The sequence below is a fragment of the Homo sapiens genome, chromosome 18 (assembly GCF_000001405.40).
Source record: "Homo sapiens chromosome 18, GRCh38.p14 Primary Assembly".
Lineage (NCBI taxonomy): Eukaryota > Metazoa > Chordata > Mammalia > Primates > Hominidae > Homo > Homo sapiens.
In genome coordinates, this window is record NC_000018.10 from 51,043,079 (window position 1) to 51,070,420 (window position 27,342).

Below are 27,342 nucleotides of genomic sequence, written 5' to 3' on the forward strand. Positions count from 1 at the left end.
TTTTCCTCCTTTTTGTTATAGTTAGGGCATTGTTAAATTTTCAAAATATGTTTAAGTAGTTTAGAATTTTGTTTCAGTAAAGCTAAGGTGGTGATATAAATTATTTGTTGGAAAAAAAATGGGATGTTGGTCTGAGAGAGTCCAGACCCACTTTCTTACTATGGGCTTCCTGTTTTTGTATCTGTAGTGCTTTGTATATACAGTGTTTGTTGAATTGGTCAATTTATGTTTCCCACATTTCTTTTATGTACGTTGTTGCATCTAATTACCACAATAAATTTGTGAAGTTGTCAGGGCAGGTGTTTCCATTTTATAGATGAGAGAATTGAGAGAGATGTTAACATTCAGTCATGCGGCTAGACCTTTAATTAGAATATATAATTTTATTTATATCGATATTATGCTCTTGCCTACCATACTTCCATAATCTAGAACCATTTAATGTAGGAATACATCTCTTTATTCCTGCTAGTATTATTTTTTATATGCATAACTTTTAATTATGTTTCAGGCACTTGTGGTCATAGGAATACAATAAAGAGAGAGATGAGAAAGCTGTTTGTTTAAGAAAGCGAGGTCATTATCATTTGTATTCAAAGCAACTTGGTATTAAAACAAACTTTGAGATACCGTTAAGGCCCCAGCATAGCATAAATTTTAGAAATGATGACATTTGATGGTGAGATTGTGGTGAAATAGTTAACACTTAAACATTTTAATTGCATTGTAGATTCATACACATCTTTTGGAATATAATATCAGAAAATGACTTCAAAAGTGTCTGCACTCTTCTAATTTGTTGTAAGACAATTCCACAGAATAAAAAGCTATGGTCAGTCCAGAAACACTTGCCTGGTATATGTCAGGAACTGTGCATGGTGCTGGGAATTTCTAAAATGAGAGTGTTGTTGCTGTTTTCTTGGATTTCTAATTTGTGGCAACAATGTGAGACAGATATGTAATCAAATAACTAATGTGTTACATTGTAATTTACACATGTAATTTACAATTAAATTGTAATCGTAATTGTTAAATTGTAATTTAACGTATCTTTCCTTTTCCCTCTTTCCCGATTCCTTTCCTTTCTACTGAGTCTCACTCTGTTGCCCAGGCTGGGGTGCAGTGGCACAATCATAACTCACAGCAGCCTTCAACTCCTGAGCTCAAGCAGTCCTCCTGCCTCAGCCTCCTGAGGAGCTGGGACTACAAGCCCACACTACCATGCCTGGCGAACCTCCTACATTTTTTTAGACAGATTTTAATAGAAAATGCAGAAAAATGCGTAATGCATTTTAGGAAAAATCTTCTTGTAAAACTATTATTATTTTTTTGAGATAGGGTCTCACTGTGTCACCCAGGCTGTAGTGCAGTGGCACAATCACAGCTCACCAAGGCCTTGACCTCCCAAGGCTCAGGTGATCTTCCAGTCTCAGCTCCCCGCGTAGCTAGGACAACAGGCGTGTGCCACCACACCCAGTTAATTTTTTTATTTTGAGTAAAGATCAGGTTTTGCCGTGTTGCCCAGGCTGGTCTCAAACTCCTGGGCTCAAGCGATCCACCTGCGTCGGCCTCCCAAAGTGCTGGGATTACAGGTGTGAGCCACCGTGCCTGGCCACAATTAAGCATGTTAATATTTCAACAGTAGCTTTTTTACTGAACACTATGTATCAGACACGTTATGCAGAATTTTTCCTTTGAGCTTCTGTATACCCTCCTTTTAATCCAGATTCAGAGTAACTTCATTTTCTGACTACTATGAAAACTGGAATTCTAATTCAAATCTCTTGACTCCAAAATCTCCCATGCAGGTTATCTTTGGTTATTTGGAAAGTGTACCTTCAGCATGTGTATTAATGTGGGCAAGTGCTCTAAGACATATGAAAAACTGCTTCTCTGCATGGGGTTTATGAGTTGAGACAGACATTTATGTGAAAGAGATAACAACAGAGGGAGGAGCAAGTCTTCAATATCAGGTGATTGATGTACATTCTGAAGAGGCTCAAAACTACAACAGTGGCAGGGAGAATGGGAGGAGAGATAGAAAAGACTGAGGTAAAGAATCTTGTAACTGTAACGGAATGTAGGGATAGTGAAGGAAAGAGGCACGTCAGAGATCTTTTGCAAAGCTTCCCAAGGCTAGGTAATTGAGTGGAATTGATACTTTAACAAAGGTCTTCAGAAGAGGAAGAGATTTTGGTAGAATGATGAGTTTTATTAATCTTGTGGGAGGATACTTTAAGGATTCAAGTATGCAGTAAAAGAAAATGAAAGCAAGATAAGTCTGGAATGCAACTTCAGTGAACAAATAAAATACAAACAAGCACACAAAGTACAGGCTCCAGTCCTGCTTTATCTTCTTTATTCTTAAGCTAATGGCCTTTTCCTATTCTCTGTGGGGTCTTGGGATCAGATAAGTTAGTTTTCTACCTGTTGAATGGATTCTTTATTAATCTTCAGTTTTTGTTATTTTAATTTTTTTGAAAATAATTTACCCTGCTGCTTTTACAGGTAAAATCTTTTGAGGAATTTAGTGATCTCTTTAAAGAACAGCTGTATTGAGATATAATTTCCATACCATAAAATTCACTATTTGAAAGTGTACAATTCAGTGGTTTTTACTATAGTCAGAGTTGTGCAACCATCACCATTATCAATTTTTAGGACTTTTTCATTATAACAAAGAAACACCATACCCATTAGCAGTCATTCCTCATTCCCCTTCCTCCCAGGCCCTGGCAACCACTGATTTACTTTCTGTCTCTGTGGATTTGCCTATTCTGTATATTTCATATAAATGGGATTATATAATGTGTGACCTTTTGTCACTGACTTCTTTCACTTAGCATGTGTTTTCGAGGCTTATCCATGTTATAATTTGTTAGTACTTTATTCTTTTTTATGGTTGAATAATATTTCGTTGTATGGAATTTTATCTATGCATTCATCAGTTGATGGACATTTGAGTTGTATCCATTATGAACAACGCTGCTATGAACATTCATGTACAGGTTTGTGTGGACATGGGTTTTCATTTCCCTCAAGTAGAAGTGTGAAGAGTAGAATTGCTGGGTCATATTTACTCTGTTTAACATTTTGTATTAATACCAGACTGTTTTCCAAAGTACCTGTGCCATTTTGTAATCCCAGCACCAAGGAGTGAGGGTCCAATTTCTCGGCTTCTTCAATACTTACTATTGTCTTTTTGATATATCCATCTCAGTAGGTATGAAGTAGCAGCTCATTGTGGTTTTGATTTTCATTTCCATAATGTCTAATGTCGAGCATCTTTCATGTGCTTATTGGCCATCGTCTTTGGAGAAGTGTCCTTTAGAATCCTTTTGTTCATTTCTAAATTGGGGTTTTTTTTTTTTTTTAATTGGTCTCTTTTAACAAAGGTGAGTGTTAACTGCTAGGTAGAATTTCATACCAGGCGATGGTAAATTTTTCATAAATATTAGTAATAGACTTTTAGGTTTAACTAGTGCTGATCCTCATAAGTAATCCTTTAAAAAAGTGCTGGTAAGATTTTCCTTTAGGGTGACTAGTAAAGTCAGTAAGACTTGATTGAGCATGCCACTATCATAATGAGAAGACCTAACTTTAATATTTTTGGAATGTCAAAAACAGTGACATTTTAATTAAGTAATTTTATTTTTAAAAATTATTTTTAATGGCTAATATTTTGTAAGAATTTTAAGTAATTTTCAACTCTGAGCATCAAATTTTAATTATGTGCATTGAATCTCTGACTTAACCAGAGCAATTTCATCTTTTCCCAAGTAGTCAGATCTACTTCGTAAAATGTGTTCTGATGTGTGTCTTTTTTTTTTTTCTTTTTTAGGTTATCCTGAATACATGTCTAACAATTTTCCTTGCAACGTTAGCTGTTGTTTTTCACTGTTTCCAAAGGATCAAAATTGCTTCAGAAATTGGAGACATATTTGATTTAAAAGGAAAAACTTGAACAAATGGACAATATGTCTATTACGAATACACCAACAAGTAATGATGCCTGTCTGAGCATTGTGCATAGTTTGATGTGCCATAGACAAGGTGGAGAGAGTGAAACATTTGCAAAAAGAGCAATTGAAAGTTTGGTAAAGAAGCTGAAGGAGAAAAAAGATGAATTGGATTCTTTAATAACAGCTATAACTACAAATGGAGCTCATCCTAGTAAATGTGTTACCATACAGAGAACATTGGATGGGAGGCTTCAGGTTAGTCTTATAAGAGTTTTTCTATACCCTCTATGGTGGCAGATTTAAAAACTTGCTACGTTTCCTTTCAAGCTACTACAGGGTAATTTAATTTGTGCTCCATCTCTTCAGATACTGTGCATCCTGTACAAATATGCATTATGGGAATTTCTGGAAGAATATGCAAAAGATAAAATCTTAAAGTTTTTTAATGTTCTACTCAGAAAAATGTTCAATGGAGAAAATTTGGAAAATAAAAATAAAAAGCAGAAAACCCACACTTCGCAAGAACTACCTTTAGCACTTTGGTATTCATTTTTGTAGCCTGTTGTTTTCTTTTTTTTTTTTTTCCTAGACGGAGTCTTGCTCTGTCACCCAGGCTGGAGTACAGTGGCGTGATCTTGGCCCACTGCAACCTCCACCTCTTGGGTTCAAGCAATCCTCCTGCCTCAGCCTCCTAAGTAGCTGGGACTACAGGCAAGTGCAACCATGCCTGGCTAATTTTTGTATTTTTAGTAGAGATGGGGTTTCACCATGTTGGTCAGGCTGGTCTTGAACCGCTGACCTCAGGTGATCCACCCGCCTCAGCCTTCCAGAATTCTGGCATTACAGGCGTGAGCCACTGTGCCCAGTCGTGTTGTTTTCTTTTTTGATATTGTATGTACATTTAAACAACCGGATTACACTTAGTCCTTTTATAATTTAGAAATCTGATATGTTTCACTGTTAGCAAATGTTTCATTGGTCACATTTTTCAGGTAGAACTTCATAATACAGCTCCCTTGCTTAAATAAATCTTACAGAAATTTTGTCGTAGATTTTAAAGTTTTATTTCAAGACTTTACACATAGTTTCTGCAACACAGTCTTTTTGCATATTTATTTATTTTATTTTATTTTTTTGAGACATGGTCTTACTTTTGCCCAAGCTGGAGTGCAGTGGTGCAAAACATGGCTCACTGCAGCCTTGACCTACTGGGCTTATGCAGTTCTCCTGCCTTAGCCTCCTGAGTAGCTAGGACTACAGGCACATACCACCATGCCTGGGTAATTTTTTATTATTTGTGGAGACAAGGGTCTTGCCATGTTGTCCAGGCTGGTCTTGAACTCCTGGGCTCAAGCGATCCTCCTGCCTTGGCCTCCCAAAGTGATAGGATTACAGGTGTGAGCCACCATGCCCAGTCACTTTTTACATTTTTAAAACCTGAGCACAGGCCTTGAAATTATACCAAGGTTTAAATTCTAGGTCTGATGTATGACATGGCCAAGTTAGTTATTGTGAATTTTAGTTTTCTTATTTATGAAATGGGGATTGTAATACTGAGTTGGTAGGATTGTGAGGATTAAATCAGAATATATAAAAGTGTCTTGCATAATGTGACACATGAATAAATGGTCGTTTATTTTTCTAGGTGGCTGGTCGGAAAGGATTTCCTCATGTGATCTATGCCCGTCTCTGGAGGTGGCCTGATCTTCACAAAAATGAACTAAAACATGTTAAATATTGTCAGTATGCGTTTGACTTAAAATGTGATAGTGTCTGTGTGAATCCATATCACTACGAACGAGTTGTATCACCTGGAATTGGTAAGTAGACTTTGCTTTCATCCTAAGAAACATAAAGGGAAAAGGATCTCAATAGTGTTTCAATTTTTGTAAGTTAAATTATAAATTTGGAAGATAGCCCGCGACTTTAAATAAGGTTAAAGAATCAGACATTTTTAATATACGTATTTAAATTTGAATTTAGGAACAAACTTATATTTTGACTGCTAAAACCGAGTATTGTAGTTGATATTTTGCCCCTTTAGAACATTGTTTTTGAGAAATAAGATGGAAAGCATTATAAATTTGAATACTTAGTTATGTATTGTTAGATAGCGTTTATGCTACTTCTGAATTGAAATGGTTCATGAACTTTTGTAATCTTTGGTTTAAATTTACATTCTCTGTTTTTAAATGGAAAATACTTTCATTGTAATGATTAATGTTTCATTTGTTTTCCCCTTTAAACAATTAAGATCTCTCAGGATTAACACTGCAGAGTAATGGTAGGTAATCTGTTTCTTACTACTTTCTCTTTGTTTTGTCCTATCCTCTCTGTTTTTTTGTTGACCTAGAATTAGTTTGTGTGAGCGGCAGGCAGTAACATTAACAAGAAAATAACTTACTGCTTTGGAAATGTAGATTTTGAGGTTAGGGGCATTTAAAACTGGATTTAAAACTGGATTTAAATTGGCTATTGCTCTTTGTATTTGAACTGCAATTTATGAACTAAAGTACTGTAAAAAAATATGATAGAGGAATGCACCAAAAACAAATATAAAGAATATTTTTTGAGTTAAGACCTATTTTTGAAGAAAATCTCACAGAGCCAGTTTAAATGGATGTTAAATACCCAGAATATTTGGTAATTTGGAATCACATATAACATATCCTTTAAAAATACCAGTATTCTAATTTTCCTTCATTTCAGCCTAACATTTTTATGAATGATAATGTTGAGAATGGTTTAAAATTGCACTCTTTTGTATTTTTTCAGTCTTGTTACATTTTGAGTAAATAAATCAAGGCTACTTTAAAGCATATGCCCATCACAGCTTACCTAATTGTATTTTTAAAAAGAAAAAGTGTTTTAAGGTGAGAAAATGAAATGTGAATGGGGGTGTTTTTGTTTTTTATTGTAATATTTGAGAATGGAGTTTTATTAAATCTTTAGCTCTGTTACTTAGAACTTAATAAACTAAAATTTCTGTAAGAACTAATTAATTTGCAGAGAAACTCTTATAAAGAACCACTGTCAGCCAGGCACGGTGGTTCACACCTGTAATCCCAGTACTTTGGGAGGCTTAAGCGGGTGGATCACCTGAGGTCAGGAGTTTGACACCAGCCTGGCCAACATGGTGAAACCCTGTCTTTACTAAAAATATAAAAAATTAGCCAGGCATGGTGGCGGGTGCCTGTAATCCCAGCTACTCAGGAGGCTGAGGCAGGAGAATCGCTTGAACCCGGGAGGTGGAGGTTGCAGTGAGCTGAGATCACGCCATTGCACTCCAGCCTGGGCAACGAGCGAAACTGTCTCAAAAAAAAAAAAAGTGGGGGGAGGCTGGGCACGGTGGCTCACTCCTGTAATCGCAGCACTTTGGGAGGCCGAGGAGGGCGGATCACGAGGTCAGGAGATCGAGACCATCCTGGCTAACACAGTGAAACCCCGTCTCTACTAAAAACATACAAAATTAGCCGGACGTGGTGGTGGGTGCCTGTAGTCCCAGCTACTTGGGAAGCTGAGGCAGGAGAATGGTGTGAACCCGGGAGGCAGAGGTTGCAGTGAGCCGAGATAGTGGCACTGCACTCCAGCCTGGTTGACAAAGCGAGACTCTGTCTCAAAAAAAAAAAAAAAAGGAACCACTGTCATCTTAGAAAGGTGTGCTCTTGTTCTGGAGGGCAGTTAGTAGTAGTTTAGCACCTTTTTTGTTTGTAGAATTTTAGAGGTGGGTCAGAAATACTAGGTGACCTTAACCAAAATTTAGGAAGAGTATGCAATTCTACTTGTTTTTTTTTTTCCACCTTTCTCCCATATCACTGGTAATGGAGGAAGACTCACTGCCTTGTGGTGCTTGTTAGTGATTAGTAGGTTTCTGACAAGTGTGGGTTTATTATTAGGAGCTGTTGTGGTGGTCTGGGAAGGGTTGCTTTAAGATTGGTGAAAACTCTGCTTCTTTGCTACGCAGACATTGATATTGTATCACTTCTTTTTTTTTTTGAAAGTAAACACGTTTCATATCTTCACCATTTTCCATCCATGTTTTTGGAGAAAACGTTTGTCTCAGTGGGTATTAAAGGTTGGGAGACTGCAATGATAAGTGTGTCTGAATCTCTCTATGGGGCTGTTTGTGAGGGGGTTCAAATTCTGAGTGCTCATCACACACCTCCCCTATTCTAAAATTATTGATGCACTGTTATTGATGGGATTGTACGGGTTGATAGCCTTTCTATAGTGACTGTAGGGCTGTATTCAGCCTTGTAGATCCCCCTAGTGGTGGTTTTGTAAAGGCTGTCTTCAGTGTCTTATTTCCTCAGAAAACAACTGGTATTTCTCACAGCTCCTTCTAGATTTGGACAAAGGAATGATACAAGAGCAGGTAACTAAAAGTTAAGAAAATGGGACAGTTCCTTCATTTTTGAGTTAAAGTCTTGTGGTAATCATTTCCAGCCTATCTTTTACCTTTCATGAAACTTTCTATGACCACGTTGACCTGTGTATTCATTTTAACAAGTATTTAATAAGCATGTATTGCCTGGTACTGTGTTAGGTTCCAGGGATGCTTAGATAATAAGGTATGTTTTGTCTACTCAAGTGAGCTTATACTCTAGTGGAGGAGAGAAAAAGTAAATAAGAGAGTGATAATACCATGAGATAGGTGCTGTGTCCTGGTTGCTGGTGATGATAAAGAACACAGACCTAAGGTGGGCCCAGTGGTTTCAGCTTTTTTGTCACCTATAGAGAATATATTCTTTGACCCTCTTAGAACATTTTTTTTTTCTTTTTTGAGACGGAGTTTCGCTCTTGTTGCCCAGGCTGGAGTACAATGGTGCGATTTCGGCTCACTGCAACCTCCGCCTCCCGAGTTCAAGCGATTCTCCTGCCTCAGCCTCCTGAGTAGCTGGGATTACAGGTGCCCGCCACCATGCCCAGCATTTTTTTTTGTTTGTATTTTTAGTAGAGATGGGGTTTCACCATGTTGGCCGGCTGGTCTCGAACTCCTGACCTCAGGCGATCCACCCGTCTCAGCCTCCCAAAGTGCTGGGATTACAGGCATGAGCCACTGCACCCAGCCCTCTTAGAACATTTTATAATCACTATATATATGTATAACTACTCTAAAAATATGGTTAAATAATAATAGCTAACACTGGGTACTCGTGTGTCAGGTCAGACTGAGCTAAATGATTTCTGAGTATTGTGTCATCATTCTCATGATACTTCTACATGGGAGGTGGGATTATTTATACTTTAACAGATGAAGGGACTGCTACCTGGAGAGGTGAAGGAACTTGCCCAAGAATAGGCAACTAGGAGGAGCCGGAGTAATGTGTGCTTGCTATTAGATATTTAAACAATGGAAAAATATTACAAAAGACTGCAAACTCCATGACAGCAGGGATATTTGTTTTGTTTATGGATATATCCCAAGTACTAGAACAGTACCTGGAACAGAAGTGCTCAAGAAATATTTTTTCAGTGAATGAATTTGTTGAATGCTAGCCCATAAAGAGAAATATTTAACAGTTTGGTATCTGTTTTTCTGGACTTTAAAAAATATATACTATATGTTTTTTTAATTTTATTTTTTTGAATAGGCAATACATGGTCCATAAATCAAAATACTATAAAAAGGTATACAGTGAAAAGAAGTGCTCCCACCCCTGCCCCCATTCCCCCCTACCTCAGGTAATCACTTTTTTTAGTTTCTGGTGTTTCCTTCCAGGGTTTCTATATGCAAAAAATACATACCTCCTTTCTTACACAAAACGTATACTATGCATACTGTTCTGGACCTTGGTTTTTTACTTACAGTATATGATTTTTTAAACATGCATATGATCATAGTGTACAATAGTGCTTTGTAACTTGCTTTGATTCTCTTGGCAAAAATATATTGCAGACTTCTATCCTTGTTGATACCTTTAGTTTTACCTGAGAAACATTTATTATGGATTATCTGGGGTTAAAGAGATCTGTAGACCAGTAGAAGTTTCAAACTTACATTTGGGAAGTTTAGCCAGCATATTTAGGGCAAGAAAGATTTATGGGTCATAACTGTTTAAAAGCAGAATACAGTTGGTACATAAAGATGTTATGATTGCTGATTAAACTGAAGAGTCATCTGAAAAGCAAAAGCAGTGAGTACCAAGTTGACCAGTTGTATCCTCAAATCAGCTAGCAAAACCAGTAAGTTGGTAAAAAGATCCCAGTCATTATAACAACAAAAAAAACCTAAGATGTCCAGGAATTAATTAGAGATGTCAGGATTTATATGAAGAAAATCATTGAACTTTGTTGAAGGGTGTAATATAAGGCTGAATAAGTGTAGACATACCAATTTTGTGCCCCAAACAATTTTTTTCTTTTTATTATTTTTATAACTTGGCCAATGTTGATGAGTGGTTGTGTTCAGTTTTTTTTATTGATACATAATTTGTTACGCATCCTTTTGATTATCTTTTTGTTTCCATAAAATTTCTAAAGAGGAACTTTGGAATGGGATTTATAGGTCTTCAGAATATCATCTTCATGACTTTTGATGCATGAACATACTTCTTAAGAGGTTTTTAAGAGGTTGTACATAGAAACTTGCACAATGGATGATTATTACTGCCTTAAACTAGTCTCAATTTAATAAAAAGTACCCATGTAACTTAACTGATATTTACATGTAGTAGATTTTTTTTCAAAGGTTGACATAGGGAAAGATAAGGGAAATGATATGCTGGTTCTTAATGAAAAAGGGAATGTCTTTTTGTGGTCTACTAATTGACTGCTTTAAGAAGAGAACCTACTGTTAGTTCAGTGGATTGTTAAGTTCTGGAGTAGTGTTAGTTTAGAAGCAATAAAGGATTGGTTGCTAAAGGTAAAAAGCAAACCTTAAAACAATAACCTAAAAACAAATGGGAAGGTTCTGGGCAGAGAATTAACATTGTTAATGCAGTTCAGTTTCAGTTTTCTTTTTGTCATACAGCAGAGCTAACTATTTCCTGGTTGGTTAATGGAAAGATGTTATGCTGTATCAGCTGGAATCTAGCTTTGCTTATGAAGGTGTAATCACATAGGTGAAAGATGTTGATTACTGAGTTTTCTCACACCATATATTAATCAAATACTCTTATTTGGGTTGGGTTTCTAGAGGGAAATTTCAGTTTGACTTTTCATTTATAATTTTTCCGTTTGGTTCTAAACCTATAGGGGACATTACATTCAGTACACTTCATTTTTAAAGAATATGTTGCTTAACAATAATTCTAGATCCTGGGATTGGATATCTATCAGATCCCACTCATATCTCCACAGTGTGAAATTAACAAAAAGATATAGTTAAATACTCAGTCTCTATTTAGACCGAATAATTGTTTTTCTCAGCTGGACACATTTTCCAGCCATTCGGTTTTTGCCTGCCTTATGTATTTAGGTGATTATTCTTCTAGGTTTATCAAGAAACTGAGGAGTACCTTTTTAGGATTGTTGCTGGAGGCTGTTGAAACATAGACTAGCTTCAAATTTGAGAGTCAGATTGATTGATAAAATATATCTCATGCTGTTACCGCTGAATAAATGACTTTTGCTGGTAAAGTAGTATGCTTTTAAAATAATATGAAAAAATTCTGAATTAAGGTTAGTAATTTACACTGTAATTGATTTTAGGTGTTATTATATTACTTGCTAATAAGATTTTTTTTTCTGGGAATAGAAGCTTATAAAAATTTAAAATATGTTTAATTTTCTATATAGCTCCATCAAGTATGATGGTGAAGGATGAATATGTGCATGACTTTGAGGGACAGCCATCGTTGTCCACTGAAGGACATTCAATTCAAACCATCCAGCATCCACCAAGTAATCGTGCATCGACAGAGACATACAGCACCCCAGCTCTGTTAGCCCCATCTGAGTCTAATGCTACCAGCACTGCCAACTTTCCCAACATTCCTGTGGCTTCCACAAGTGAGTTCTAGAATCAGATGTAGTCAGCAAGTTGAGTTTTCCTAATCATTGCTTATTTATGTGTAGTCACTTGGGGGGAAACTCCAAGTAAGTAAACATTAAAAGTAACTGTAGTATCTTTCATAGGTAAACAGGTATTAAACAGGTATGCACAATCACTTGGAATTTAAGTAATGGCTTTGATTATAATATTGATTTAAATTAATGATCTGATTTATACTTTACTATTACATGTAGCAGTAAGTAGCCTCTTAAGCTCCCAGATATATTTTGGAGAAATATTTAAATAATTAACAAGTAGTTTTGATCCAAGATGTTTATGAAGGTCTGTGTTAATGGAATTGCAACCTTTCTTTTAATGCGGTGTTCTTATTTTGGTTTTTCTGGGACAATATTACCTTATAGTAGTTGTCTGATTTTCTCACTGTGCAAAGGGATCTTGACAAATTTGTTATATATTGCTCAAGATAGACATTAATTAAGTCAATTTTGATATAAGCTAACTTCTATATCTCTTTTTAAAATATATGTGTAATTAAAAAAAAAAAGTGTTTCAGAAAGATCCTTCTTTTCTGCCATGTCATAGGAGGGAGAGGGGCTGCTAGGTTCAGGTTTTTGGGGGCATGATCATATGACCTGGTTCTGTTACTTATTTTCACAGTAACCAAAGGTTTGATAGTTTGCTGCTTGGCAAATGAAGTAGCTTTTTTTTCATTTTTTTTTTTTCAATTAATCATAGAGCATTGTCTTGGCATGTGTATGGTGTTAGTTGCATGCAGTTGCTAAAGGAATTTATGTAAACCCACATCAGAATAGATTTTTGACAGCTCTGGGCTAATACTGTGTTAGTTGCTACCGAAAGTACCATTATTGTATTTGCTTTACTATCAGATTAGATTCAACATAGAAATTTTGATCTTTGGAATAAATGGGGGACTGATTTCTGTAATTGTGAGTTTTCAAGTGAAGTATACCAGAATTTCCCCTTTAATTCATTACACCACTTCAAAGCAACATGTTTTTGGTTTGCTATCTAAGAGATGACAGTCTCACTATAGGCAGCATATTCTAAATGGGTCATATAGGTTAAGCACTTGAGAACCCAGTTCCTTAATCACTTGGTGCTTCTATTATCTGTCTACTTTTTATTTACCAAATTAGGAATATGGTTGACAAACAGTGGGTAGTGATAGAAAATAAAAGAAGGTACATTATAGCCACTTGAACGTAGATTAGTGCTAGAGCACAGCTACCTACTTCTGTTTATATTATCTGGAGATTGAATTTCTGTGCCTTTGTCAATGCTTACTAAAGTGACTTCATTTTGACTGTGTTGTTTCCTGAGGTTGAATCCTATTCAAAGATTAGAAAAAGTGATAGAAATGAAATGCAGCTAATTTTATCCTGGTATTTATTGGGTAGATTTTAATAATCGAATACCGTAAATACTGTAAGTTTTAGAACTTGTGTCAAAATGTTCCCTTATGTGGTGGCATGCGCCTGTAGTCCCAGCTGCTCCGGGGGCTGAGGCAGGAGAAATGGCGTGAACCCGGGAGGCGGAGCTTGCAGTGAGCAGAGAGCGAGTCACTGCACTCCAGCCTGGGCGACACAGCGAGACTCCATCTCCAAAAAAAAAAAAAAAAAAAAAAAAGAGGGTTCCCTTAGGTCTCAAAAAGTATATTGATGAAAAGAAGTTGAACTAAAATAGAAGATTTGAAAGGCTATTTTACGTGAGCTGATTTAGTCGTATTGTTTAACTTTATTTTACATACTTAGAATTGTATAAGGGAAGTATTCAGTATGGATAACTACAGTGAGTCACTTTACAATTTATGTTCTTTTGACACCTGAATATTTTAAGAATTTCCTTTTAAATACCTGTAAATTAAAATAATTTATCCTGTGTAGTTAATGACAATTTTTGTAAGTTAGCTAAGAGTATTGCCTGTAGAATTGTTAAAAATATGAACAAAACCATAATTAACCTTTAAAGATAACTTGCAGAATCTGGGGGATGAGTAGGAAGGGAGGTTGCTAAAATGTCATTTTTACAGATAAATAATTTGGGGAGTATTGAAATATTCTCTTTAGCTTTTGGTTTTGTAATTCTTAGCTTTAAGGAAATGTGATATGTAAAGAAAAGAAAAATATTCCTTTTCTTTGATACTTTGAGCAATGGTGACATGTTACTCTCTTCCATCTGATTATACTCCCATTTAGAAAAGAATGAGGTGATGCCAGTTATAAATAATTATAACTTTAGTGCTTTCCAAATAGGATTAACAGTCGAGTTAATTAATGCTCTTTAAGAAACCAAATTTCCACTTTAAAAAAAAAGCCTTAAAAATGTAGGACAGTAAGCAATATCATAGGATGGTTTTTGAATAGAATACAAGCCAAGAGAAGCTTGATTCTCTTGGTATATTACATACAGAGAGGGCAATTAATTTCTTGTACATCTGGGAATATGATGGTGTTCTTGAAAAGAAATGATTCTTGGTTTATAAAAGCTCTTGAAAAAATTTGAAAGTAGACTGATAGTTTTTTTGTTTGTTTTTAACCAGTAAATGGTATATTGATTGGACAGCAGAGCTAGATCTTTTTAACTTCCTCATCTTCACTATCACATCCTATTTAAAATAATTTTCTGCTCTGCTTTTCTCTGTCAAACCCTAGCATTCTGCCATTACTAGTATCAGTGCTGATAGTGATTAATTTTTCAGTTTTCAACATTTTCTTGAGCCTGGATTTTTGGGGTCCTAATCAGAAAGGTCCAGAGAGAGAGGTGGATGGAGTGGCCAGGATGAACTGACATACCTCTGAAGAAGTTAATATGATAGGCCAGACGTACAGTGGTGTTTTGCTGGCATTTGAAATATGTTTGTGAAGAAATAAGCCACTACAATTAGTTAGACATTACCTAAAATGGAATAATTTTGAGCTTCCTCAAGTTAAAGTTTGCCTTTATAGATGACTGTAGGTTTTTTACCTGATAGGCCATGGGTGAGTTACACTTTTTGCCCATCTTTATAGTTGTGCATTATCAGATAAAATTGGTCCTTCATTTAGTATATGAAATCATAAGATGACATCTATGAATGTACCATGTTAATGTCTTCTTGTTCCTCTAGGTCAGCCTGCCAGTATACTGGGGGGCAGCCATAGTGAAGGACTGTTGCAGATAGCATCAGGGCCTCAGCCAGGACAGCAGCAGAATGGATTTACTGGTCAGCCAGCTACTTACCATCATAGTATGTACATACTTTAAAAAATCTTTTAAATAGTTGAGAAAAAAGTAGGCAGCCTTTATAAAAGCAAATTAACCCATGTGGGCCTTAATTTTTAGACAGCACTACCACCTGGACTGGAAGTAGGACTGCACCATACACACCTAATTTGCCTCACCACCAAAACGGCCATCTTCAGCACCACCCGCCTATGCCGCCCCATCCCGGACATTACTGTAAGCTCTTGTTTTTGTTGTAAGGGCTATTTTTTTTTTTTTTTTGGTAGGGCTTTGTTTTCTGTTTTTTAAAAATGTTTTTACATCTTTTATTCATCCTGTGATTTTGTTTCATTAAATAGTGCTTTTCAGTATTTTTTGTAAACAGTATTATTTTTCATAGTTATCCTACCTTTTTATTTTAGAGGAGTGATGTTTGCTAAATACATTTATTTCTCTGTTGCTAATGTTTCATTAACATCACATTGATTTCCATTCATTTGTTTGTTTGCTTTGTATATGTTCTTAGATCTCATCTGTGTCTTGTATATCCACGCATAATGGATTGAAACCCTTTGAGTGCTAAGTTCTCAAGGTTTCCCTCAGCGTAGTATTCAGTGTACTTTGGATAATGTTGAATCTATAGATAACTCTGTGCTGGCATGATTGGGAGGAATACCCTACAGATAACATGTAGTTTCAGGTAGAATAGGAGCATTGTTCATATGGCTTAGTAAAATCGAGAGTATAACTCTTATATACATTAAATCCCTTTCTTCTCATTATAATATTAATAGTACCAAAGAAAACTTAGAAAATATAGAAAAGTATAAATAAGAAAAGCAAAATTACCCTGAATCCTGCTACTCAAAAACAGCCACTTCTAATATTTTGTTATTTTCCTTCCAGTCATATAAACAGGTATATGTAAATTGACAGGGGCTCCTACTCTATGTGTATTGTATATATCTTGCTTCTTTTCAGTTATGTTACTATTTTTTCCATTTCTTAAGAGAATGTAATTTTTAATGGCTGCCTAGGCCGTCATAGTGTTGAAGGGTGCTGGGTTTGGACCTTTAACAGGCTGTGTGACCATTGACAAGTTATTTCACCTCATTAAGCCTCAAGAGTAATAATAGTAGTATCTACCTCAAGGGGTGTTCGTAAGAAGTAAACGTAATAATTTATGTGAGGTGTTTAGCACAGTGTTTTAACACATTACCAGTTTTCAATTATGTTAGCTATGATTCCATTAAATAAACATCCTTAATTAACATAAGCACTTGTTTTTAGAATAGACCTAACAGTTTATTATTATACATTGCATTATAAATTGTACTGTATTGGACGTTACATGAATAATTCATTTATGATCTGTATTAAATGTTGGATATAAAATTATGTGTAAATTGTGTAATAATAGCACTTGGCAGATAGCACTGAAATGTTAGTTATTAAATATCCACAAAAGTATTAATAGTTTAAGACTATTTGCTTATTGTAAACTTTTAAGTTCTTAGACATTGCATAAGCTTGTTTTAAACAATTCCTAACCTATAATAGTTATATTTAAGTAAGATTTACTGAAAGTTTTAGCATTAGACAACTTTTAGTAAATAAAAATGGAATTTTTGTTGTCTTTTCTTTAGGGCCTGTTCACAATGAGCTTGCATTCCAGCCTCCCATTTCCAATCATCCTGGTAAGTGTATTTCAAAATTGATTTCCTGTATTTAGATTGATTTAGTGGTGATTGAAACGCACAAACACAGGCTTTAATGGAATTATGGGGTCACTTCTCAGATGAGTACAATACTCATCATGACATGAGTTAATCAACAGTTTGAGTAGTCAATATAGTCACACATAGACTGTCTATATTTTATTCAGTTTAACTGTCCCCAAAAGAAAAGAACTATCTTTTCAGCTAAAATGAGAATTACAGAAATGCTGACTTCAGCATTGAATACATAAATATGCAGCAGAATAAAACTAGGTTTCAAAATAGAACAGCTGTAAAACTATAGCTTAAAAAGCCAGGAAAGAATCTTAAGTACATGCCGAAAAGAAAAATAATTCACTCTATTCAGGATCTCTGGTTAACTGGAATTTAGAAACTATTTGATTAAATTGTATGCAAAAGAGTAAATCGCTAAGTAGCTTTCTTCAGTTCAAAGTTTGTGTATAATTTTTGAAACTGTAGAGGTAATAAAACAGAAAACACTTGAAAATAAAATACTGAAAGTCCCTTGTAACACAAACATAGATTTTGAATTTTTTTCTCATCCTTTCGTATCTGTTTTTCTTAGCATAAAAAGATGCAAATATATTACTTCAGCTAATCACCTTAATTTTTTGGAAACTATAAACTCAATTTTCCTCCTAATTAAAAGAAAATTATGAAGAATTATATTTTTATTTTTACTTGTTTATTTTTGAGAGAGGGCCTGGCTCTGTTGCCCAAACTGGAGTGCAGTGGCATGATCTCAGATTACTACAGCCTTGACCTCCTAGTCTCAAGCGATCCTCTCACCTCAGCTTCTAGAGTAGCTGGGACTATAGGCAAGGGCCACCATGCCTGGCTAATGTTTGTATTTTAGTAGATAACAGGGTCTCACCATGTTGCCCAGGCTGGTCTCGAACTCCTGGGCTAAAGCAGTCCTCCTGCTAATAATTTTATTTATTTATTTATTTATTTATTTTTTTCCGAGATGGGATCTCGCTATGTTGTCCAGGCTGGTTTCGAACTCCTAGCCTCAAGTGATCCTCCTGTCTTAGCCTCCCAAAGTGCTGGGATTATAGACGTGAGCCACCACACCAAGCTTGAAAAATTAAAAAAATATATTTTTAAATGATTTTATTTTTGATCTTTGTGGGTACATAGGAGATGTATATATTTATGGGGCACATGAGATGTTTTGATACAGGCATATAATGCATGATAATCACATCATGGAAGATGGGGTATACATCCCTTCAAGCATTTATCTTTTGTGTTACAATCTATACTCTGTTAGTTATTTTAAAGTGTACAATTAAATTATTGGCTACAGTCACCCTGTTGTGCTGTAAAATATTAGACCTTATTCATTCTAACTACTTTTTGTACTATTAACCATCCTCACCTTCCCCCAATCCCCCACTACCTTTCCCAGCCTCTGGTAACCATCCTTCTACTCTCTGTCTCTATGGGTTCAATTGTTTTGATTTTTAGATCCCACAGATAAGAACATGTGATGTTTGTCTTTCTTTGCCTGGGTTCTTTCACTTAACATAATACCTCCAGTTCTATCCATGTTGTCTCAAGTGACTGAATCGCATTTTTTTTATGGCTGAATAGTACTCCACTGTGTATAAGTCAAGCATAAAGAATTTTAAGCATACCGGAATAATACAGGAAGTTCCCCCATTGTACTCATTCCTCAGTTTCAGCCATTATCAAGTAATGACCAATCTTGTTTCATTCATACTCACTCTCTTTCTTCATTCTATATTATTTTGAAGCAAATCCTATATTAGTTTTATATGTAAATATCTTAGTATATATTTCCAGTAAAGGTTTTTAAAACATAAACACAGCGCCCATAATGATTAATTCAAAGGGTCTTAAATTCTTAAATAGGTCTACATAATTTTCTTTGTGTAAATGTTCTGTTATTGATTATGTTGGTTTAATTTTTCTTCTAGCTGTTTAAAAAAATAGAAGGGAACATCTTTGTGTTTATAACTTTTCTCATATTTTAGTTTAAGAAATTTGTAGAATTTCTAGATCAAAAGGCCATATTACAGTGACACCAGAGTGTGAGAACCAGGGTTACTGTGCTGGCTAGCAGTAGATGTCATAGTTTAATAAACTTTTTGCTGATTTAAGAGGCAAATACTTGTTCTGGTTAGGGAAAAGGTGATATTAGTGGGGCAGAAGCATTCTTTTAACGATATATATTTATTATCTTCTGTAACGGATTTTCTGTGTTACATTGTGTGTTGTGATTTTAAACATTTTTGTAGGTCAAGGGGTCTAGCCTTTTCATAAACTTTCTTTTTTTGAGAAATGTAATATACAGAAAAGTATGTAACACAAGTAAGTATATAGTCTAACATCACTAAAACCAATACTCATGTAACCACTACACAGATTGAGAACTAAAACATTATGGCATCCCAGAAACCCTCCTACCCCATGAATTTTGTCTCTGTCAAAACCTCTTTCCTTCTCCCCAGAGGTAGCTACTGTCCTGCTTTTTATGGATATCACTTTTTTTTTGCTCTTTTATTTATTTTTTAAATTTTTATTTATTTATTTTGAGATGAACTCTTGTTCTGTCACCCAGGCTAGAGTGCAGTCATGCAATTCGGCTCACTGCAACCTCCACCTCCAGGTTCAAGCCATTCTCCTGCCTCAGCCTCCCGAGTAGCTGGGATTATAGGCACCCGCCACCATGCCTGGCTAATTTTTGTATTGTTAGTAGAGATAGGGTTTCACCATGTTATCCAGGCTGGTCTTGAACTCTTGGCCTCAAGTGATCTCTGCCCCATCGGCTCCCAAAATGCTGGGATTACAGGCATGAGCCACCATGCCTGGCCCTTTTAAAGTGATGAATACATCCCTAAACAGTCTAGTAATCTGGCTTTACTTGTTTTTTTTTTTTTTTTTTTTTTTTGAGACGGAGTCTCGCTCTGTCACCCAGGCTGGAGTGCAGTGGCGCGACTTGGCTCACTGCAACCTCTGCCTCCCGGGTTCACACCATTCTGCCTCAGCCTCCCAAGTAGCTGGGACTATAGGCGCCCGCCACCACGCCCGGCTAATTTTTGTATTTTTAGTAGAGACGGGGTTTCACTATGTTGGTCAGGCTGGTCTCGAACTCCTGACCTCTTGATCTGCCCGCCTCGGCCTCCCAAAGTGCTGGGATTACAGGCGTGATCTACCGTGCCTGGCCCTCATTTTCTTTTTACCTAGCTTTATAAATACTTGTTTAAAACAATTTAACATTTGGACTGATTGTGTAAAGACCACTTTTAAGTGTTGTTACTGTTTTTTGTTGTGTTTTTTTTGGCCACCAAAACATTGGGTAATTGTTGTCTTAGACAATCTCTGTAGTTTTGGTTTAACCAGTGTACCTATCAGTTGTTTGCTGAAGCTTCTTGTCCATAGCATAATGTGATACCTTCACATTACATTTTCTATAGACAATATATATATATTTTTTTAAATTTTTGAGACGGGGTCTCACTCTGTGGCCTGGGCTGGAGTGCAGTGGCACTCTCATGGCCCACTGCAGCCCTGACCTCCCAGACTTAGGTGATTCTCCCATCTCAGCCTCCCGTGTAGCTGGGACTACAGGTGGACACAACCACGCCCAGCCAATTTTTCTATTTTTCGTAGAGACGCGGTTTCACCATGTTGCCCAGGCTGGCCTTGACCTCCTGGGCTCAAGTGATCTGCCCATCTTGGCCTCCCAAAGTGCTGGGATTATAGGCATGAGCCACCATGCCCGGCTGAAAATAATTTCATAAATACTTCAAAACTGGCTTTTTAAGAAGACACTCAGTGAAGACACTTAGTGTATCACTGGTTTTTATGTTCTAAGCATAATGAAATATATGTAAACAAATATTTATCTTTGTGACAAGTTCATTAGAGTGACATGGCAAAACATTTGAGTTTTTAAGTTTTTGAATTATCCAATCTTCATGTGATCTGTTTTGATAACTCCTCATTGCATTGGAAAGTATTTTATTGCTTGGCAGCATTTTGAAAAGTAATTAGGGTACATAGCTTTTACAAGTTGTTTTCTTTTAAAAAAATTTTAAGCATCAATCATACTTCATTTTAGGTTATTTTTTTTTTTTCCGTAAGATCTGGGTTTCTTTTTTGTCATTCTAAGTAACTTTGTTGAAAGTAAGATTGTTGAAAGTTTTATTGCTTCAAATTCTAGTTTAAAGTTCATAAACAGCTTATTGAGATACAGATAAATCTTTCTTTTAAATATGTCGAACCTATTTCCACCCTGGGGTCTTTGCTTTCGCTTCCTCTTTGAAATCTGTTCAGTCTTCACATAGATAAAAGGTTATTCAGGTCCCATCTTTTCAGATGGGATGTCCCCTACCATCCAGTCTGAAGTGTTCTTCCCAATCATCTGCTGTTCCATACCCTGTTTTATTTTCTTCACAGTGTTCATTGTTATCTGAGTTATTTCATTTGTTTGCTTATTTGTCTGCCCCTGCACCTCTGTGAGAACAGGGACTGTAGCTGTTTTGTTTTCTACTGTGTATGCAGTGCCTAGAAAGATCCCTAGATACTCTGTAGATATCTGTTAAATGAGTTAAAACAGGAAAGCCAAATAATTTTTATGTATTTGGGCTTGATGTAATAATTGTTGTTTACAAATAAAAATTAGAAATACTTGATCAGTTGTCTTTGTAAACCAGAGTAGCACCTCTTTTTTCCCAGTGATTTAAAATTATATATTATTGTTCAAATGAGTACACTAAATACATCTCCAAAGTTAAAATTGTGGTAGTTAACATGACCTGACTTCACTAAAAATACCTTTTGCTATGGCATAGGTGGGACAAATGACCTTCTACCCAAGAGACAGTTGAGAATCTGTGTGTACAACAACTGTGTGATTAGAGTATAATTAACCTTAACTCAGGGATGGGATAGCTGACTTGCTTATGCACTTTCTCTCAATTAGGGAATCTATAAAAATATGTCATGAGTCGATGTTATTCAAGGACAGTTCCCTGGAATACATCTTAGGGTCAGTGTGTTTTTAAAAAATAAAAGTTGAGACTACATAGAGAATATGTGTAGTCAAATGAAATACCATGGTAAAATAATTTATTTTAGATTCTGATTATTTCTGTTCTTTAAATTCTCAGTTGACCTGGTCCTTTGAGGTAAGAACCAAATTCCAGATTTTAAAAAATGACTTTTAGAACTTGAGGATAAGTGGTAATTGGAAATTAAAAAAAAAAATTAGTGTTTTAAGAACAGTGCTAAGTACTGAGCTAGAAAATAGAAGACATGGAAATTCCTACCTTTTAATGCATTATGTTATTTTAATCCAGTTGTTTTGGGTGCATTACATTTCCATCTCCCCTCCCTTTACCCTTTCTTTTAGGAAAAACTGTGTTGTGGAGTGCAAGTGAAAGCCTTATATCTTTCTCATGGGAGGATGTTCTTTCCCATTTATTTCCTATAGCTCCTGAGTATTGGTGTTCCATTGCTTACTTTGAAATGGATGTTCAGGTAGGAGAGACATTTAAGGTTCCTTCAAGCTGCCCTATTGTTACTGTTGATGGATACGTGGACCCTTCTGGAGGAGATCGCTTTTGTTTGGGTCAACTCTCCAATGTCCACAGGACAGAAGCCATTGAGAGAGCAAGGTATTGATTGTATAGTCAGATAGTTACTTTAAAAAATTGAGCATAGTACATTGTCTTTTATTCAAGGTTATGTTTTCCCATGTACATTATATGTGTTCTTAAATATAAATAAAGGAATAAAGGTCATGTTGAAAACTCAGAATTTGTAAGCACTCCATCTTAATTGTCGGTGTTTTTGTTGTTTAACATATAATGATAAAAGATAGCCTTTTTTATGTTAGTAGGTTTCTATGTTTCGAATAGTAAGTATACCTTTTGAAATTCAGTTTGAAAATTTTATTTTCTGTGATCATACATTTCTACAAATTACTGAAAGGAAGTAATATTAAATGAGAACATGTTTCTGAAAGTTTTACTTATAATGTTAAAAAAATTGGTAATAAAAGGGAAATGGTTAAGTAAATTATGATAAATTTTTCCTTTTTTATACAGTCATTAAAATGTTTAAAAGTTTATATAATGAGGCTGGGTGCGGTGGCTCACACCTATAATCCCAGCACTTTGGGAGGCGGAGTCAGGCAGATCACTTGAGGTCAGGAGTTCGAGACCAGCCTGGCCAACATGGTGAAACCCTGTCTCTACCAAAAATTAGCCATATGTGGTGGTGTCCACCTGTAATCCCAGCTACTCAGGAGGCTGAGACAGGAGAATTGCTTGAACCCAGGAGGTGGAGGTTGCAGTGAGCTGAGATCGTGCCACTGCACCCCAGCCTGGGTGACAGAGTGAGACTCCATTTCAAAAAAAAAAAAAAAAAAAGTTTATATAATGAAATGGAAATGCTTACAGTGAAATATTACAGGAACATTCCATTTTAGCTACTGTATGATCTCGGCTTTTAAGGATGTGTGTGCTAAAGAACATAATCTTGGCTCTATCACTTGCTGTCATGTGACTTTGGCAAATTACCTAACCTCTAAGCCATTCTGCCTAATAGAATTTTCTGTGATGAAGAAAATGATTTATATTTGCACTGTCCAGTTCGGTAGCCACTAGCCACATGTAACTATTGAGCACTTAAATTATAGCTCACTTGATTGACTAATCGGATTTCTAATTAGTTTTAATTTAATTTAAATAGTCACATGTGGCTAGTGGCTATCAATTTGGACAGTATGCCTTAGTTTCTTTATCTAAAAAAATTAGAATAATAGTACTTGTTGAGTTGTAAGGGTTTAATGAGAATTCATACTACATGCTCCTGACACATAGTAAGTGTTGTAAATATGTGCATCATTATTAGATATGAACAGGAAAAGAAAAAAGGAAATATACAAAAATGTTAATAGCTATCTTTTGGTTTTATGTGATCTTTATTTTTAATTTTTCAATATTAAGCATGCTATACAATCTGAACTAAAATTTAATTTAAAATACTTATCAAGATAAAATGTAATTTCTTTTTTCTTCCTAAGGTTGCACATAGGCAAAGGTGTGCAGTTGGAATGTAAAGGTGAAGGTGATGTTTGGGTCAGGTGCCTTAGTGACCACGCGGTCTTTGTACAGAGTTACTACTTAGACAGAGAAGCTGGGCGTGCACCTGGAGATGCTGTTCATAAGATCTACCCAAGTGCATATATAAAGGTTAGTTACAATTTTATTTGAATATTTTAGACTTAAAGCTCTATTTGTTGTCAAAAGAATTGAAATCTGGGTGGAAGGAATGGAAAAATGTTTTATATATTAAATAATAAGAAATTGTGTTTAAGTATAAAAAACACATTTTCTGAGGGCATTTATTGACATTATCAGTAATCTAGTTTTATCGTTGCCAATTTGTTACATTTTGTTTTTTATTTTATTTATTTATTTATTTATTTATTTTTGAGACAGAGTCTTGCTCTCGTCGCCCAGGCTGGAATGCAGTGGCGTGATCTCGGCTCACTGCAACCTGCGCCTCCTGGGTTCAAGCAATTCTCGTGCCTCAGCATCCCAAGTAGCTGGGATTACAGGCACATGTTACTGTGCCTGGCAATTTTTTGTATTTTTAGTAGAGACGGGGTTTCACCATGTTGGCCAGGCTGGTCTCGAACTCCTGACCTAAAGTGATCCGCCCAACTTGGCCTCCCAAAGTGCTGGGATTACAGGTGTGAACCACTGTGCCAGGCCTGTTACATGTTTTAGAGTAATACAAAGGCTCTTGAAAATACTGAGTGAAGCCTCCAAAGTTGTATTCCTGTAACTTGAAATTTGTAAGAATCAGACTCTGGACTTTCATCTTAGCCAATCTTCAGGATTTTATGGAAGAGAATTCTAAAATTAATAGCTTTTCAAATTAAGAACCTGATAAGCCTGAAATATTTTTCACTAGTTATATATTCAACCTGTTTGAATTTTACTTTATAATATAACCTGTTTTTGAAAGAGAAAGGCAGTTGTAATTAGATAGCCTAAATATATTTTTAATTGTGTGTCATCCTCAACATTTTCATTGTCAGTGATTGTAAATTGGTAGAATTAACTGTGTCTCATAACTTATTACCAGGAAGTTGCTTAGGATAAAAATAATGTAGCCCCATAGCATCCATAAAAATGGAATTGCCTGATTACCTCACAACAGCAAACCCAGTTTCTCATTTCCAGTTATAGTTCAGTTAAAGAATGTTGGAATTTTTTTATATGACACTTTTAAACATGCCAAGTATAGCGAAAATAATAAACCACATGTACCTATCATCCAGCTGCAACAATTATCAGCACTTTACCAATCTTTAATGTGTTTCTCCCCCAACTTTTTTTTCCTGGAGTCGTTGAAAGCCAATTCCAAACAGCATAGTCACTCATAAAATATTTCTGTGTGAGTAACTCATAAAATACTCCTGTGTAACTCACAAATCTATACAGACTTCTGAAAAACATAATCGCGGTGCTATTTATTACACTTAATAAATTAGCATCAATTCCCTGTTAAAATTTTCAACAATAGAGCATCAGTTATAGTCTGTTAGAACAATAGAATAAAGCAATAAAGTATTATATTTATTGATAGGATATCCATGTGTATAGAAAAGTTAGTTATTAAACAATACATAAGGCCTGATTTAGTGGCTCATGCGTGTAATCTTAGCACTTTCGGAGGCCAAGGTTGGAGGATTGCTTGAGACCAGGAGTTCAAGACCAACGTAAGCCACAAAGTGATACCCCCATCTCTACAAAAAAATTAAAAAATTAGCTGGGTGTGGTGGTGCATGCCTGTAGTTTTAGCTACTTGGGAGGCTGAGATGGGAGCATTGCTTGAGCCCAGGAGTTCAAGGCTGCGGAGAGCCATGATCATGCCACTGTGCTCCAGACTAGGTGATAGAGTGAGACCCTTTCTCAAAAATAAATAAATAAATAGACAATACATAGACTATGATCTCATTTTTGTTAAATGATATCATGATATTTGTTATTTGTTTATATGTACCCATAAGTCTAGACTGGTATGTATAATGGAATTGTCTCTATGAGGTGGAAATTATTTGTATTTTGCAGTTTTTTTCCACAAGTAATTTCTGTATTGGTTATTTATGCTGTATTATTATTATTTTTGAGACAGAGTCTTGCTCTGTCACCCAGGCTAGAGTACAGTGGTGCCATCTTGGCTCACTGCAACCTCTGCTTCCAGGGTTTAAGTGATTCTCATGCCTTAGCCTCTCCGGTAGCTGGGATTACAGGTGTGTGCCACCACGCCTGGCTAATTTTTGTATTTAGTAGAGACGGGGTTTCACCGTGTTGGCCAGGCTGGTCTGGAACTCCTGACCTCAAGTGATCAGCCCAACTCAGCTCCCAAAGTGCAAGGATTGCAGGTGTGAGCCACTACGCCTGGCCTTTTGTTGTTATTTTTTAATGGCTTTGGATTTCCTTATATGTTTTGTAGTCCATTTTGTATTCGTGGGCCAAGTTTGTTTTGAGAGAATTCACTCATTTTATTATTTATTTTTTCTTCCTGTCATTGCTTCACCCTATGTGGCAATTTTGCCTTACCCTGGCATCTGGGATTCACATCTCAGAACCAAATCTTATAAATTTAGGAAGTAGGGGGACTTTGTCTCCTGAGGAAATTGAGTTCCATTCTGCAGGTATGCTTGGGGCCTAATTCCTGATTGCCTAGATTTCTCTGAAACTTTTCCCTGCCGTGGGCAAATATTTTATTCCTAGGTGTACTTCTGAATTGGCTGTATTTTACCAGCACTTGATTTATGGGCAGGTGCCCACTTGTAGCCCCCAGAGAGTTTGGCTGTTGTCTCTCTCCATATTATTCCAAGAAGTCAAATTCCTGTTCCCTGCCCTTTGTTTATGGTCTTGGTATACCCCTAGTACCTCCTATCTTTAGTCTCTGCTCTCCACTGTGGGTTTTATTTATCATCAGTTTGGATGTATGGATTGTTTCCATATGAATTTCATGATCAGTTTGGAGAGGATGACTATTTTAAATAGTTTTTCTGTTATTTGTATGTGGTTGAAGCAGAGAGAGAAGGTGATTATGTATACCCACTTAACCCATCTTGACTCAGAAGTCTCTTGTTTTATTTATGTAATTTAAAGTGACTGGATAGAGAACTATGGTGTTGAATATATACTGTGTGCCAGATAGTATTTATAAACTTAATCAGATATGGAGTAGTATTTAAAACAATTGAGCTTAAATAATGTGGAATCGTGCAAGTGTAATTTCTTGGATGTCAAATAGATACATTGTGACTTATTTATATTTTGGTACAGATGGCCTTTGAAAAGCCCCCAAGGTGTGAGACAAGTCATCACTTGATAAACCACTGTCTTGGACAGATCTTAATAGTGATCTCATACTTTTACCATGAAAAGTAGATAAATAC

General features: G+C 35.9%; 1 protein-coding gene across 6 annotated transcripts in view; it reads left to right on the forward strand.

Moving 5' to 3' along the window:
• The window catches only part of SMAD4 (SMAD family member 4), a 54,830-nt gene that overhangs the window by 12,866 nt on the left and 14,622 nt on the right, over positions 1–27,342 (forward strand). For 3 of the 6 annotated variants that reach the window (NR_176265.1, NM_005359.6, NM_001407042.1), the window contains exons 2-10: positions 3,842–4,217; positions 5,608–5,782; positions 6,217–6,246; positions 11,703–11,915; positions 15,047–15,166; positions 15,262–15,378; positions 16,788–16,838; positions 22,345–22,528; positions 23,941–24,109. Coding sequence is in view for 4 of the 6 variants with exons in the window: in NM_005359.6 (NP_005350.1) it covers positions 3,969–4,217; positions 5,608–5,782; positions 6,217–6,246; positions 11,703–11,915; positions 15,047–15,166; positions 15,262–15,378; positions 16,788–16,838; positions 22,345–22,528; positions 23,941–24,109 (1,308 nt within the window). In the remaining 2 variants the exon portion in view is untranslated. Of the gene's footprint in view, positions 1–3,841; positions 4,218–5,607; positions 5,783–6,216; positions 6,247–8,275; positions 8,338–11,702; positions 11,916–15,046; positions 15,167–15,261; positions 15,379–16,787; positions 16,839–22,344; positions 22,668–23,940; positions 24,110–27,342 lie in introns of those variants that run through there. The other 3 variants (NR_176264.1, NM_001407041.1, NM_001407043.1) reach the window with 3 other exon arrangements.